The sequence below is a fragment of the Homo sapiens genome, chromosome 7 (genome assembly GCF_000001405.40).
Source record: "Homo sapiens chromosome 7, GRCh38.p14 Primary Assembly".
Classification (NCBI taxonomy): domain Eukaryota; kingdom Metazoa; phylum Chordata; class Mammalia; order Primates; family Hominidae; genus Homo; species Homo sapiens.
In genome coordinates, this window is record NC_000007.14 from 66,744,062 (window position 1) to 66,760,951 (window position 16,890).

General features: G+C 42.2%; 1 protein-coding gene and 1 long non-coding RNA gene across 41 annotated transcripts in view, besides 1 other annotated feature; both read left to right on the top strand.

The window, feature by feature from the left end:
• Positions 1-16,890, top strand: part of RABGEF1 (RAB guanine nucleotide exchange factor 1) — a 156,898-nt gene that overhangs the window by 89,495 nt on the left and 50,513 nt on the right. Inside the window, exon 1 of one of the 40 annotated variants that reach the window (NM_001287061.2) lies at positions 11,821-12,016. The exons of the other annotated variants lie outside the window; for them this stretch is intronic. Coding sequence (NP_001273990.1) covers positions 11,992-12,016 — 25 coding nt within the window. The 5' untranslated portion in view covers positions 11,821-11,991. Of the gene's footprint in view, positions 1-11,820; positions 12,017-16,890 lie in introns of those variants that run through there. 40 annotated transcript variants of the gene reach the window in all.
• Positions 6,641-6,700: an enhancer, noted in NCBI's record as "active region_26087". NCBI's record gives its function as "activates an Ori minimal core promoter by ATAC-STARR-seq in GM12878 lymphoblastoid cells {active_cell/tissue: GM12878}" and the evidence as "EXISTENCE:reporter gene assay evidence [ECO:0000049][PMID:35858748]".
• On the top strand, positions 13,798-16,413 carry LOC107986707 (uncharacterized). Its single transcript, XR_001744945.1, has 2 exons — positions 13,798-14,224; positions 14,584-16,413. It is a non-coding gene; the product is annotated as an uncharacterized LOC107986707 (long non-coding RNA).

Consider the following 16,890-nt stretch of genomic DNA (forward strand, 5'->3'; position numbering starts at 1 on the left):
GAGTCTTGATCTGTGACTGGGCTGGAGTGCAGTGGCATGATCTTGGCCACTGCAACCTCTGCCTCCTGGATTCAAGCGATTTGTGTGCCTCAGCCTTCTGAGTAGCTGGGACTGACCATAGATAGGCGCGCGCCACCACGCCCAGCTAATTACTGCTATCTTGTATTTTAATTTTTTCTGCTTATTAGATGTTTGAAATGGTGGCTCACGCCTGTAATCCTCGCACTTTGGGAGGCCAAAGTGGGAGGATTGCTTGAGGTCAGGGGTTGGAGACCAGCCTGGGCAAAATAGCAAGACTGCATCTCTACAAAAAAAAAAAAAAGATAGCCGGGCGCAGTGGCTCACGCCTGTAATCCCAGTACTTTGGGAGGCTGAGGCAGGCGGATCACGAGGTCAGGAGATCAAGACCATCCTGGCTAACACGGTGAAACCCTGTCTCTACTAAAAATACAAAAAATTAGCTGGGCATGGTGGCAGGCGCCTGTAGTCCCAGCTACTCGGGAGGCTGAGGCAGGAGAATGGCGTGAACCTGGGAGGTGGAACTTGCAGTGAGCCGAGATGGCGCCACTGCACTCCAGCCTGGGCGACAGAGCCAGACTCCGTCTCAAAAAAAAAAAAAAAAAAAAGATGCTTGACGTGAATGTATACTCATTTCCTAGTTGTTTCTTTCTATAAGGATGTCTGACCTGGCTAATTTGTAAACAGGAATTCTGCATTCATTTCTCTCTTTGCTTTCTCAACCCCAATTGAGCACACAAGTGTTTAATGAGTACTTAACTGATTTGATAAGAATAACTCATTGATTTCTTTGATTTTTTGTTGCTGGTTTTCAGTGAAAAAAATGTTATCAGCCGCACACGGTGGCTCACGCCTGTAATCCCAGCACTTTGGGAAGCTGAGGCGGGTGGATCATGAGGTCACGAGATCCAGACCATCCTGGCTAACATGGTAAAACCCCATCTCTAATAAAAATACAAAAAATTAGCCGGGCATGGTTGCAGGCGCCTGTAGTCTCAGTTACTCAGGAGGCTGAGGCAGGAGAATGGCGTGAACCCGGGAGGCGGAGCTTGCAGTGAGCCGAGATTGTGCCACTGCACTCCAGCCTGAGCGACAGAGCGAGACTCCATCTCAAAAAAAAAAAAAATGATATCAGTACTTACTCATTGTGATGTCTACATATAGAACTAAAATTCTGTTTACTTATGTGAGTCTTTGGCTAGAGACATAGAATTTCAGTCTTGACTGTGTGAGCTTAATTTCTGGCATGTGGGTTTTTATTGGCTGCAGAGGAAACATCTCTAGCAGAGATGACCTATCCCTCAAATGTAGGAAATACCTGTGTAAACCTAACACCTGTGACTCAGAATAGAAATGGTACCAAGTGAGTGGCTTCTTAGCCCATCAGTAAAGTTATCACACCATAGGCTGGGTGCGGTGGCTCACACCTGTAATCCCAACACTTTGGGAGGCTGAGGTGGGCAGATCACTTAAGGCCAGGAGTTTGAGACCAGCCTGGATCAAGATGGCAAAACTCCGTCTCTACTAAAATGCAAAAAACTTAGCCAGGCATGGTGATGTGCGCCTGTGATCTCAGCTACTCGGGAGTCTGAGGCACAAGAATCTCTTGATCCCGGGAGGCGGAAATTGCAATGAGCCGAGATTGTGCCACTGCACTCCAGCTTGGGCAACAGAGTGAGACTCTATCTCAAAAAAAAAAAAAAAAAAGTGATCACACTAAAACCAAGAGTTTCAGGCTGGTGCAGTGGCTCATGCCTATAATACCAGTGCTTTGGGAGGCCAAAGTGGGAGAATCGCTTGAGCCTAGGAGTTCCAGGCTGCAGTGAGCTGTGATCAAGCCACTGCACTACAGCCTGAGTGACAGAGTGATACCCTGTCTCTATAAAAAGAAGTTTCATAGTACAGGCCAAACATCTTGAAAATCTTATTAAATGTACACTTCTTTCATAGAGCACTGTAGAAACATCATGTGTGTTGTTTCACATGGCTGAAGTGAGTTTAAATGATCTGGACTATTGTTACAATATGTAAACATGTGAAATAACAGTTATCCCACTTAATATTATTTAACTTATGTTTATCTCTTTGATGTTTGGATAAAGCTCCTAAAATGCTTTAGGAAAACATTATACTTTTATGGTGCTGTTTTGAAGTTTCCTGTGAAATTCCTGTTTTCAATGAAGTTACTGTCAGTGGGATAGGAAGTGTGATTTTTTTTTTTTACTTTTCTTTTTTTCTTTTTGAGACGGAGTCTTGCTCTGTTGCCCAGGCTGGAGTGCAGTGGCGCGATCTTGGCTCACTGCAACCTCTGCTTCCTGGGTTCAAGGATTCTTCTGCCTCAGCCTCCCGAGTAGTTAACCACCATACCCAGCTAATTTTTTTTGTATTTTTAGTAGAGACGGGGTTTCACCATATTGGCCAGGCTGATCTCGAACTCCTGACCTCGTGATCCACCCGCCTCGGCCTCCCAAAGTGCTGCGATTACAGGCGTGAGCCACCGTGCCCGGCAGGAAGTGCAATTTTTATTTATAATATAACCTTTTTTTTTTTTTTTTTTTTTTGAGAACAGAGTCTTGCTCTGTCACCCAGGCTGGAGTGTGGTGGCACGATCTCTACTCACTGCAACTTCCACCTCCCCGGTTCAAGCGATTCTTGTGCCTCAGCCACCTGAGTAGCTGGGAATATGGGCTCCTGCCACCACGTCCGGCTAATTTTTTTTTTTGCTGGAGTGAGACTGAGTTTCAGCCTTGTTGCCCAGGCTGGAGTGCAATAGTGCGATCTTGGCTTACTACAACCTCTGCCTCCTGGGTTCAAGTGATTCTCCTGCCTCAGCTTCCCAAGTAGCTGGTGTTAACAGGCACGCGCCACCATGCTGAGCTAATTTTTTTATTTTTAGTAGAGACGGGGTTTCACCATGTTGGCCAGGCTGGTCTCGAATTTCTGACCTCAGGTGATCCACCTGCCTTGGCCTCCCAAAGTGCTGGGATTACAGGTGTGAGCTACCGTGCCCGGCCCTAGTGGAACATTTTAATTTGTTTCTGGTAGCATAGCTCTCTTGGCAATGGTCATTAAGAGGGCCAAATACCATTATTATGATCAATTAATTAAATGTGGTTAAAAGTCAGAAGTTAGAATAAGTATGTGTTCATGAATGCGTAAAATATTACACACTGAGAGAGTATTAAGCTTTTTAATTTTCCCCCAGTAACAGTGAGCAGATTGCTGAAATCTCTGAAGCAGGAATGTAACAAGAGTTTTGAGGGCTCTAAATTCTCTGCTGTTTCACCCTAAGGAATGGTTTGGCAGCATCCTCTATGCTAGGCACAGAACAACTCAGGAGGAATTGTACAAAGACCTTATGAACCACATTTGAAGCTAGTCTGTTCAGTTCCCATTCAAAATAAATACACAACTGTAATTGAATTTATGGTGATTTGGTCTGTATGCTAAAATTAAAAATCGCTTTTGGGGGATTTTCACATAGGGGTATATTTATAATTTTCTGTGTGCTTTGCAGTTAAAAATACATAGTGAAAGTTTTATTTTTGTAGTTCCTCTGTTGTACAGAGGAAATTTAAATTCTTAAAATTAGAATTTTCTAATTTTAAGCACTTTCATTTTTCCTTTAGAAGGTACTTTGGAGCACATAAAAGAAAATGCCATTAGAAATTGAACATAGAAAATGTTTATTAATCGAAGAAAATGTTTTCTTATTGTGCTATAATTTTTTTCAGTGGAACATATCATTTACTTATTCCATTATTCCACATCTTGTTCCAGAAAGGGTTTGTAATGACTTACAAAGATACGTGCGACATACTGTTGGTAACATAACAGATAAGTGGGTGAGGAATGCAGGACTGAGGGAAAATTAAGATGGAAACAGGAATGAGCTGTGTACACAGAGCACTTGGACTGAAGTCTTAAGTGCAGAGGGCCACAAATTTGGCTTTGCTTTTGAGTAGCCAATTAAGAGAGAAATATAATCAGTTACATGGGTCAGTGACCATACGACAAAAGAGATCATTTCTGCTTTGGATTCCCAAAGACTTTCCAGCATGCGTTTCAAAGGGCTGGGTGTCGAGTTTTACTTTGTGTGTTAGTAAAACTCCTTATTGGCTTTTTGTGTAAGACGGTGACATAACATCAAAACATTCCGTAAAAGCATTTCTCTTGCCTGCAAAATAATGTGATCCGAGTACTTAGATCTCTAGGCTGATTTAAGGATCTGTTTTAGATTATCTAGATGAGTAGGTGGATTGCACATTCTTCACCTACCTTCCATACTTTCTCAGTGGATCTTTTGTAATGAATTTATCAGCAGTGGGGTTTGAGTTTGTGCTTCCTCACAAGTTCCTTGAATGCATCTGTTTTCTGTTGTTGGTGAATCACGGAACCATATGTTTTAACAGGCATGGTTTATCGTGGGGGTATCACGATGGAACAGTCTGACAAGGGCACATATTTGTTTGTTTGTTTTTTGAGGAAAATCACTTTATTCTAATTAACTCAACAAAGAATAAAATCATAACGGCTAGTTCAAGGGTGCCACACAAACATCTACCCAGCCATCTTAATGAAATTCTACACAGTAAGAATTTCCTTTTCCATTGCAGTCCTGAAGCAGGGACGCTATGAGAGAGGAGAGGTTTACCTGATGATTACACTTTATACCTTCACTATCAATTGTATTTTTGTGCTAAATCACTTGGTTATGAGAGCTGATTTTCCATTTCTCCAATTCGAACTTTCTGATTAGACCAATCTGTTTGCAAGTCTGCACTGTTTCAGCACCTTATTGAAACCCTCACAGAGTTTTCTGTCACCCTGGTTCTGGGCACTCTCCAAAAACTGTTTTATGTCATAAGAGCAAGGCCGCTGCTGCTTTGCTGGCTGGGTTCCCTGAGGCTCTTGGTAGGTGATATCAGGCCTTCAGGCTCACCGTGACTTCCTCCACTGAAGCCCTGGTGGTGGCATGACCCAGTGTATGTCTGACAGGGGCACATATTTGAATGAAAGCCACCTCACCTCCATACAGAGATGGGCTGAGGGAATACCAAATATGAAGATGGGAGCAGATCCAGATCTACTCGTCTCAGATGAAATGTCCAGTAAGTTGTATTGCCTGTATTTTGCTCCAGCTGAACAGTTGCACTTTCAAGTAATAATAGTTCAAATTTATCAAATGCTAGCAGGAGCCATGCATTGTGTTAATGGAGAGAGACCATCCTTATTCACTCTTACTCAGTAAACAGTGGGTGAAACTGCCCTTGCCTAAATATAGTTATGTAATGCTGTGTTTCCTTAATTGTATATCCATAAAGCTTTTGACATTGTTTTCTAAATGTGTTCCTCAAAAAGGAGTTGGGCTAGTGACCAAAGTTTTGAATAGAATATTGTAAGAAAGCAAATACAAAGTGTAAAAACAAAAAACAGAACTTTGCGAGGTGTTGTTCACCTGTAGTCCCAACTACTTGGGAGGCTGAGGCAGGAGGATTGCCGGAGGTCAGGTATTAGAGGCTGCAGTGCACTATGATTGTGTCTGTAAATAGCCACTACACTCTAGCCTGGGCAACAAAGCAAGACTCCATCTCTAAAAACAAACAAACAGGCCAGGCACGGTGGCTCACACCTGTAATCTCAGCACTTTGGGAGGCCAAGGCGGGCGGATCACGAGGTCAGGAGATAGAGACCATCCTGGCTAACACAGTTAAACCCCGTCTCTACTAAAAATATTTTAAAAAATTAGCTGGGTGTGATGGTGGGCGCCTGTAGTCCCAGCTACTCGGGAGGCTGAAGCAGGAGAATCGCTGGAACCTGGGAGGCGGAGCTTGCAGTGAGCCGAGATCGCACCACTGCACTCCAGCGTGGGCGACAGAGCGAGACTCCATCTCAAAAACAAACAAACAAAACTACAGAATAATGAAATAGAATGTCCAAAATTTATCATAACTGGTGTCTCACGAGATAATACGTTTGGGTCCTGTTTAGCAAGTTGGATTATATTTTTATTTGTGTAAATTTATTGGCCGTTGCAGTTGGGGTTGTATTGAGAATGTAGATTTTGTCTGATGAGAGTGTAGATTTTATTTGTAGTGAGTGCATGTGGATTTTTATTTGTCTAGGGTTTTAAAAGTTGTATAGTCATGAATGGACACTTTTTAATACCATCTATGAGAAATTCAATGGCAAAGTGTTTTCATACCCATATGCTAACTGCTGATGCTTTTTATAAAACATTGTTAAGGTGTTACTTGCCCCAGGAAATACAATGTTTTATGACAGAGACAGTACTGAAATTCAGTATTTAAGTTCTTTAAATACCAGCTATGTTGAGTAGATATTACTTTCTCCCAAGAGCCTATTTTTGGTTTATGACATATTAGGGAACAAATTGCAGACACAGTTTTTTCATTACCTGTAAGAGCACTTATAGGATGTAAGCTATTTCCTTAAAGAGGAATTTTTGCCTTTTTAATACTTCTGTCTAGTAACTCAATGCATTAAAAGATACATATTTTTCTAGTGCTATAAATATATTGGTACATTTAAATATAATATACACACATATAATGGTGCTTGAGAAATAAGTTGAGATTATTTTAAGGTTAAGGTTCTTAGATTCTGACAGAAAAACTGATCAGCCAGTTGGACTACAGGTCCAACCAGTTCCAGCCCCAAACATGAGCAATAGTGATTATGGTAGTGATTCTGCCATTTACGTCAGTGAAATGCAAAGATTTCAGTTTCATTCTTCAGCAGACGCTTTATGTGTATTTGGAGAAGAATCTGAGTACTAGAAAATACTCTTCTCCTGTGTTTGTTCTGCTGTTAAATACACGGTTTGAATTCTTAATTTTAGAAATACTTTTCAGATCTAGAATTTCAGTTTGACACAAATTCCAATTCACAGTTGAAATTCTTAATCTTTTTATGTTTTCCCTCTTTTTTTCTTTTTTTTTTTTTTGAGACGGAGTCTCTCACATTGTCGCCTAGGCGGGAGTGCAGTGGTGTGATCTTGGCTCACTGCAACCTCCACCTCCCAGGTTCAAGCAATTCTCCTGCCTCAGCCTCCTGAGTAGCTGGAATTACAGACGTGCGCCACCGCACCTGGCTAATTTTTGTATTTTTAGTAGAGACGGGGTTTCACCGTGTTAGCCAGGCTGGTCTCGATCTCCTGACCTCAGGTGATCCGCCTGCCTCGGCCTCCCAAAGTGTTGGCATTACAGGCGTGAGCCACCGTACCTGGCCTTCCCTCTTTTTTTCTGTTTTTAAAAACATACCATTAAATAAGTCTTTCTGGTAAAATCAAGTATAAATCATCTGAGCATCTGTTTCTATTATCTGCGTTTCCTGTTGGTTTTTAGTTATCTGAATGTGAGACATCGTGAATACAGTAAGGGTCTGGATGATGCTATTTTTCAGAGAAGAAATCACTCTTCCTTTTGCTAGGCAGGTAGAGTGGGGCTGATCACCTAATACTGCTAGAGACTGAGCTGAGGGTTGAGGTTGTGTTGCAGGTTGGATAAGGCCGCATTTTGCTCTGATTTGCCCTTACTCCTAGCAGGTACCCACCTAAGACTTTCAGCTGATAGTCTGGGAGTTTATAGGAGTCCCTCCCCGACAGAGGTTTTATACTGTCATATTTGTCTCTTGAGAACAATGAGATTGCTGAAAATTTCACTCTTGATTTTCAGAGGCTTTTAGTTTTGTTTTGAAGCCTTCCCTGTGTGGCTATAGAATTTGGATTGTGTCTTCAGGGGAAAACCAGCCTCCTCCCCGGATCTTTGACTCCTATTTCACTGGGCCCTTGAGTCCCAAAAGTCAAAATCTTAGGCTGGGCACATTGGCTCACACCTGTAATCCCAGCACTTTGGGAAGCCAAGGTGGGAGGCTCACTTGAGCCCAGGACTTCAAGACCAGCCTGGGCAACAAAGACCCCATCTATATAAACAAACCAAAAAAAACCCGCAAAAAACTAGCCAGGTGTTGTGGCTTGAACTCAGCTACTCAGGAGGCTGAGGCTCAAGATTGCTTGAGGCCAGACGTTTGAGGCTACAGTGAGCCATGATTGTGCCACTGCATTCCAGCCTGAGTGACAGACTCTGTCCCAATTAAAAAAAAAAAGTCTTGGCTGGGCGAGGTGGCTCACGCCTGTAATCTCAGCGCTTTGGGAGTCCGAGGTGGACGGATCACAACAAGGTCAGGAGTTCGAGCCCAGCCTGGCCAACATGGTGAAACCCTGTCTCTACTAAAAATACAAAAATTAGCCAGGTATGGTGGCGGGCACCTGTAATCCCAGCTACTGGGAGGCTGAGGCAGGAGAATCACTTGAAACCAGAAGGTGGAGGTTGCAGTGAGCCGAGATCATGCCACTGCACTCCAGCCTGGGGAACAAGAGTGAAACTCCGTCTAAAAAAAAAAAAAAAGTCTTGATTTTTGTCTCTTCCAAAAGCTCTCTCATGGTTCCTCATATTCAGAAAAGGGAGTCTCCCATTGGGAATGAAGTCCTGAGAATAAATGGACATTTTCGTAATTGTGGTGTTTTCTTTATAGCAGTGGTTCTCAAAGGTAGTTCCTAGCAGTATCACCTGGAAACTTGTTAAATTCGAATTCTCAGGCCCTTTCCCAGGCCAGTTGAATCAGAAACTCTGGGGTGGGACCCAGTACTCTGTGTTTTAACTAGTCTTCCAAGTGATATTGATGTACATTCAAGTCTGAGAAACACTGCTTGTCAGGTTAGTTGTTTGCTGTTTAATTTTTTTACTCCCACCTTCACTGGGCCCTGGAGAGTGTGGAAGGGACAAAAGTGAGAGAACACTGTCTCTGCAGGTACTTTGCCAGTCTTCTGATGAATTGTTTGAGAAACCTAGAAAACATCTATTGAGCACCTCCTCAGTTCCTGGCACTGTGCTAAGTGGCTAAGAGCATGGGGTGGACATGTAAGCAAGTAATTGTAATAGGACATGAGTATTATAATGGCTGTATTTATAAAAAGCTACAGGAACGGGAGAGAGAATTACCCTGTCAGTGGGGAAGTTGGAGTCAGATGTCCCTTGATCCTTGAACAGGGTAGGATTTGAAGGTGAACAGACAGAAGGGTATTCTAAGTGGGTTCATAAATAGGATGACCATGTAACTTATTATCCACAGGTGGTCACTTTTGAGAATCAAAGGGGGTGCTTTTAGGCCAGGACTGTTGCTTGCTAACTGGGGTGTATGATTGTCCTATTTGTAAAGAACAGGTGTTGCTGTGAACCCAGAGTTCGATGTAAATTTGTGGAAAACTCATTTCTTCTAATTATTTGTAGAGTTTACAACAATTCTTATTGGATGGTATATTTTTCCCCCAGGGCTGCTGTAAAATATTACAGGCATACTTTGGAGATATTACGGGTTTGGTTCTGCACCACTGTAATAAAGTGAGTCACACAAATTTTTGTGTTACCCAGTGGATATAAAAGTTGTATTTTGGGCCAGGGTCTCTCTGCATCTCTGTGTTCCAGTTGGGGTAGGGTAATTTCCCTTTCAGTTTGAAGAGCTCTCCCTGGTATTTCTTCCAGTGGATGTCTTCGCATAACAGTGTTTTTTCTCTCATCTGAAAATGTCTATTTTGCCATCGTTTTTTTTTTTTTTTTTTTTTTTGAGACAGAGTCTCACACTGTCACCTGGGCTGGTGTGCAGTGGCACGATCTTGGCTCGCTGCAACCTCTGCCTCCCGGGTTCAAGCAATTCTCCTACCTCAGTCTCCTGTGTAGCTGGGACTACAGGCATGCGCCATCATGCCTGGCTAATTTTTGTATTTTTAGTAGAGATGGGGTTTTACTGTGTTGGCCAGGCTGTTCTTGAACTCCTGACCTTGTGATCCACCTGCCTCTGCCTCCCAAAGTGCTGGGATTACAGGCATGAGCCAACGTACTAGGCCATTTTTTTTTTTTTTTGAGACAGAGTCTTGCTCTGTTGCCCAGGCTGGAGTGCTGTGGCGCAATCTTGGCTTACTGCAACGGCTGCTTCCTGGGTTCAAGCGATTCTCCTGCCTCACCTCCCGCGTAGCTGGGACTACAGGCGCCCTCCAACACGCCTGGCTAATTTTTTTGTATTTTTAGTAGAGACGGGGTTTCACTATGTTAGCCAGGACAGTCTCGATCTCCTGACCTCATGATCTGCCCACCTTGGCCTCCCAAAGTGCTGGGATTACAGGCCTGAGCCACTGTGCCAGGCCTTTGCCATCAGTTTTTAAAGGAAATAGTCACTGAGCACTGGATGCTAGGTGGCAGGTTTTTTCTTTCAGCTTTTTTTTTTTTTTTAAAGCCATCATACTTTAATATCTTTCAGCACTGTCAGGTTATCTTCTGGCTTCTATTATTTCTGTTGAGAATTTAGCCCAGGCATGGGGGCTTATACCCGTAATCCCAGCACTTTGGAAGGCCACAGTGGGCAGATCACGTGAGCCCAGGAGTTGGAGACCAGCCTGGCCAACAGGGTGAGACCTTGTAGCTACATGTGGTAGCCCTTTTTCAGTACATTGGCCAGTCCAGCTCAGCTGGATGTCATTTACATATGTGTCTTATATTTTAGATACAAAAGACTTCTTAAAAGCTTAGAGCATAACACAAATATTTATTTGATTGCGCCATCTAACAAATCTGAATAAATACATTTCACGTCTAGGCATTGCGTTTTGTATTTCTCTAAACCAGTGTGGGCGTGTGTGTATGTGTGTATCACTTTACCCAGCCACAGCAAGTGATTATGGATGAAATGGCTACAGCAAAGCTAAAACTATGATATGCCTTTGAGAAAAAAGTTCTGAGCTGAGTGCATTGTCTCATGGCTGTAATCCCAGCACTTTGGGTGGCAAACCATGGGAGGATTGCTTGAGGCCAGGAGTTCGAGACCAGCCTGGGAAATATAGCTAGATCCTGTCTCTGTTGGCCAGGCACGGTGGCTCACACCTGTAATCCCAGCACTTTGGGAGGCCAAGGCAGGCGGATCACGAGGTCAGGATATTGAGACCATCCTGGCTAACACAGTAAAACCTGGTCTCTACTAAAAATACAAAAAATTAGCTGGGCGTGGTGGCAGGTGCCTGTAGTCCCAGCTCCTCTGGAGGCTGAGGCAGGAGAATGGTGTGAACTTGGGAGGCGGAGCTTGCAGTGAGCTGAGATTGCATCACTGCACTCCAGCCTGGGCAACAGAGTGAGACTCTGTCTCAAAAAAAAAACAAAAAACAAAAAACAAAAAATTTAGCCAGGGATGGTGATGCACACCTGTAGTCCCAGCTACTTGGGAAGCTAAGGTGGAGAGGATCACTTGAGCCTGGGCAGTCATGGCTACAGTGAGCTGTGATCATGCCACTGCACTCTAGCCTGGGTTATAGAGCCAGATCCTATGTCAAGAAAAGAAAAGAAAAAAAAAGCGTAAAGAAAAGAAATGCCTTTAACAGAGACCACCTAATATGTTGCAAGTTGCTGTTACCTTAGGTGGAGTTAGGAGAAATAATTTTTGGTCAGTAACTTAGTGAATAAATTGACCATTTGTGCTGCTTCCCTGGGCGAGGGCATAGAGAATGGTACAAAGTAGGCTACGGTAGCCAGATTATCTTGTATGTAATTTTGAGCTGTTATTCCGGAGAATGGCATGCTCAGATTAGAGTTACAATTTTGCTTAACCAAGGAGAGCGTGATCTAGTACAATAGAAGACTGTTGTCTAGAACTCATTCCTTGAGAATGCTCCCCTGCTTGCTCTGCTCATTCCAGCAGCAATCAACTCTACATTGTATTCCAGGGAGTTGATTATCATTTGGAATTATTTGTCCAAGCTAACGTTTGGACAAATAATGTTTTGTTATATTTAACATTAAAACTCTGACATTGACATTCACATTCATTTTGGAAGCATTATATTTAATCATATGAAAGTTGGTGAACCTTGGATTACAGATTGCAAATGCTAATAAGTCTTTTATTAGAATGATGGCGTCTTCATACCATGAAGGTGAGTACTGAAAGATATATAAGAAGAATATCTATAAATCAAAAGAAAATAGTAATGACATAGAAAAATGAGCAAAATCAGTTATTCAAAGAAAATATACTAGTGCTAATAAATATCTCTAAAGATGGCTAACCTTAGGGAAATGCACGTTAAATGATTTTTTTTGTTTGCCTGTCAGATTGACAAAAAATTAAAGTTCGATAATGCTATGCTTATGAGGTTATGGGAGACCAGATTCCCTCATACACTGTAGGTGGGAATGTAAATGGTATAGCCTTTTTGTCAGACCAGTTTGGTATATGTCAGAATTTTAAATGCACATACCCTTTGGCATTCCGTTTCTGTTTCTAGCAAACTGCTCACATTTTGCGGTCTGCTCAAGGTCATGGTCTGCTCATAACCTTGTCCTGCTTGGCTATCAAAGATTTATAAATTGTGTTAGTACTATTTCTGAATTTAATAAAATACTTCATTGTCCTGTTCAGATTTTTTTTTCTAGTCCCTTATTTGCTTTTATATTTTGGCTACAGATAGCCTCTTAAAAACTAGCTAGATGTTTCAGTTTATGTATTTTAAGTTTTGTTTCCTTTCTGACTTTCCCTGCAGTTTGTAACCTTAGATGACACTCATCTCTTTAGAACTTTCATGAATACTTCATTTTAGTTCTTTCCATTTTCTGTTTGTCTCTAAAATCTTTAACTTTTTAAAGATACCTGTAATTAATGTAGGGGGTGTCAGATTGCTGACCAGTTATTGCAACACTATTTATTGAAAATTTCCCCTTCCCCTCCTTCTTCTAACATTAAATTACCTTATATATTACATTAGATTCATTTTTGAGTCAGTGTATCCTGTAGTGGTTTGACAGGTCTGTTCTTGTGTTCACAGTCTTCTAACTAGTTTGCAAATAAAAATTCAGAAAATTAATTTAGAAAATCAAAAAATAATTGAGTCTGTTTATTTTTGCTGACATTCATTTTGTTGAGTTCCAAAAAGTCTTGTGGGATTTTTATGGCCATTTGTAGTAAACTTACACATTTTGGAATGTTTGACACTGTTACAACATTTATTTTCACACATTATGTTAAGTATATTTCCATATTTTTATGTGGATTATATTTTCTCATTAAAATGTTTTTCTACAAGTGTTTACATATTGATGCTATTATGACTGATATCTTTTTTATACTTTCTAACTTGTTATTGTTTCTCTGTTACAAGAGTTCCACAGATTTCATGTACCTATCTAGCTTATTTCACATAAATGTGAATTCTTTTTTAAAGTTAGCCATTTTAAAGTTAATTTCTCAGCATTAATAGTGTTTTATTTTCTTTAGGCCTTTCAGATACATAGTCATATCTCTCATATTACACACTAAGCTCCGCAATGACTGAAATGATTTATTTTTACTTACATTTGTATCCCAAGTGCCTTTCGTGCAGTAATCAATCAGTATATAAATATTTGAATGAATGCAGAGGGAACACTATAGGAATATGTACCATATACAGTAACTGCCTCTGGATGATGACTAAAACTTTTTTTCTTTTTGAGATGGAGTCTCGCTCTGCCGCCCAGGCTGGAGTGCAGTGGCATGATCTCGGCTCACTGCAAGCTCCGCCTGCCAGGTTCATGCCATTCTCCTGCCTCAGCCTCCTGAGTAGCTGGGACTACAGGCGCCTGCCACCATGCCCGGCTAACTTTTTGTATTTTTAGTAGAGACGGGGTTTCACCGTGTTAGCCAGGATGGTCTCGATCTTCTGACCTCGTGATCCGCCCGCCTCGACCTCCCAAAGTGCTGGGATTACAGGCGTGAGCCACTGCGCCCGGCCGACCAAAACATTTTTTTTTGCTTGTCTGTATATATCAGGTTTTGTAAATAATGAGTATTCCATTATTTTCTAACTGGAAAAAAAATTTAAGGGAAAAAAATCACCCGTAAGTTTTATTTCTTAACTGAGGTCAAAGGATACCTTATCGTTTTACTAGAATTGATTGGATGTTTCCTGTAAGTCCCAGATGAGTTGCCTGGAGAGAGGAATGACCTCTGAGGGCATGACATTGAACCCAGGAATAGGAAGCGGACCGCCAAGAAGGATAGAGGGAAACTACTCACATCTGCAAAGTATTTTCGTTTTGCTTTTCTGAGACGAAACTGGTTTGCATCCAGAGCCTTAAGAAAGAACACTAATAGTTCTGTGAGCTTTGTAAGTAAGCTTTGTACCTCTCTGTCCTTTTTAGGGTACCTGGACCTAGAATAAAACCTAGCGCCGAGGCACAATTTACAGAATCCTAACTGTCCCAGCAGCAGAGATCATTTTTACTCTGTCTTCCCTGACATAAGTGGGACCAATTGAATTGTGCATTCTTTATGCCCAGGTTGCTCAACCAAGCTTCTATTTATTGGAATGCAGTGCTCCAACAGGAGCGATGTGTGGCCCCTCGGAGCTCCCTCCTGGAAGCAGTGCTGGTGGTGGTTACTGTCTAGGGACAGGTCTGTCTGCCCAGGAGAGAAGGAGTTGAGTCTCACGCAGCTGATCCCCCATGTTTCTTCCTGTGTTTACAGGATATGCTGTCTGTAGCTGTGATGTCCAATCTGGGTGTGCCGACTCTCCTGCCTTCTACCGTAACAGCTGTCACCACCACCACATAGCCTTTCAAATGATGGCACTCTCTTTTGGTGGTACCCTTGCTCTCTTTTTATACTTAGAAGCAGCAGAATGATCTGAGTGTTGTGTTTAACTGGTACACATTAGTCCCATGATAGGTGTTATTTTTATTAAAAAACGTTCATGTGTGATTTTTAACTAAACTTTAAAATTTGGAACAATTAATGACTTCAAATCCATAGGAAGCTGTAAATACAGTACAGACAGGTCCTGTGTACTCTTCTAGTTTGCCTAATGGTTACATGTTACATAACTATAATGTAATGTCAAAACCAGGAAATTGATATTTGTGCAATGTATGTGTATAGTGTCATGCACATTTCATCTCATACGTAGATTCCTGTAGCCACCACCATAGTCAAGATACAGAACTATTCCATTACCCCAAAGACTTCCCTTATGACTCTGTAGTCACATCCTGTGTCAGCAGTCCCCAGGGCTGCCCCCAGGTTTCGTAATTCGTTCGAGGCTCTCACAGGACATATTTATTCCTTGCTATGGTTTGTTACAGTGAGGGGATACAAAGTAGGATTAATAAAGGTTAGTTGTGCATTGAGCAGATTCTACAGGACACCAGCATTGTTAAGATTCGAAGCGTCTTCTCCCAGCAGAGTTGCCCAGGATGTGCTTACTTCCCCAGCCGTAAACTCTAGCAACATGTGTGAAGTGTTTTTTATTGTGAAAGCTCATGTACACCTCAGAATCCAGGGCTTTTACTGGAGGTTGGTCACATAGTATATTAGTTCGTTCATTCTCACGTAGTTATAAAGAAATACCTGAGATTGAGTAATTTATAAAGAAAGGAGGTTTAATTGGCTCACAGTTCTACAGGCTGTACAGGAAACATTGCAGCTTCTGCTTCTAGGGTGGCCTCAGGAAGCTTCCAGTAATAGTGGAGAGCAAAGGGGGAGCAAAGTGTCTCCCCTAGTGGGAGCAGGAGCAAGAGAGAAGGTGCTATACACGTTTAAACAACCAGATCTCACAAGCACAGAACCACAGGGGATGGTGCGAAACCATTCATGATTAACTGCCCCATGATCAGATCACCTTTCACAGGCCCCACTTCCAACATTGGGGATTACAATTCAGCATGACATTTGGGTGGGGACACAGTTCCAAACCATATCACATAGGCATATAGTCCCTTTAAAACTGATCACCGTTACAGCAACTCCAGAAGGAAATCAGGTGTTTACCATAAATCATACAGTTTGCACAAAATATCTAGACAAGCTGGACAGTGTGGTTCAGTACCGTAACCATACAAAACACCCTTATCATATAGAGCATAGGGCTAGTACAAGACCTCAGTTTCTAGGAGCTGACCAAGGGCCAGTCTAACCCAGCTGACCAAGCAGGCCCGTCTGAGAATGTGCATCATTTGAGCAACTCAGGCCTGCTGGGTTAACTGCTTACACCATTTTCCTTCCCCTCCTCTTCCTTGCCTTCGACACTCTTAACCTGGAAAAAGCACTAATTTGTCCTCCATATCTGTGGTTTTGTCATTTGGAAAGGTTGTAGAAATCCTAGAGTATGTGACCTTTTAAGATGCACTTTTTAGAAAACTCAACATGTTGCTCTTGTGTTAATAGTTTGTTCTTTTTAGTGTTCGGTATTCTCTTGTGTGGTCATGCCCCAGTTTATTTAACCATCCCATAGATGTTTATTTTCCCTTGTAAAGTTGGTTAGCATGTATTTTTTTTTTTTTTTTTTGGAGACAGAGTCTCGCTCTATTGCCTAGGCTGGAGTGCAATGGCACGGCCTCACTTCATCACAACCTCTTCCTCCCGGGTTCAAGTGATTCTCCTGCCTCAGCCTCCTGAGGAACTGGGACTACAGGTGCATGCCATCATGCCCGGCTAATTTTTGTATTTTTAATAGAGATGGAGTTTCACTGTGTTGGCCAGCCTGGTCTCAAACTCCTGACCATGTGATCTGCCCGTCTCAGCCTCCCAAAGTGCTGGGATTACAGGCATGAGCCACCGCACCCAGCCAGCATTTATAATTTTAACATAATGGCTAATACTCACGAGGGGAAGAGATTTTTGAACATTTTTAAATAATAGAGACAGAGTCTTGCTGTGTTGCCCAGGCTGGTCTTGAACGCTTGACTTTGAGCCATCCTCCCACCTTCGCCTCCCAAAGTGCTGGGATTGTAGGCGTGAACCATTGCACCTGGCCCTGGGGAAGGGATTTTTGTATTT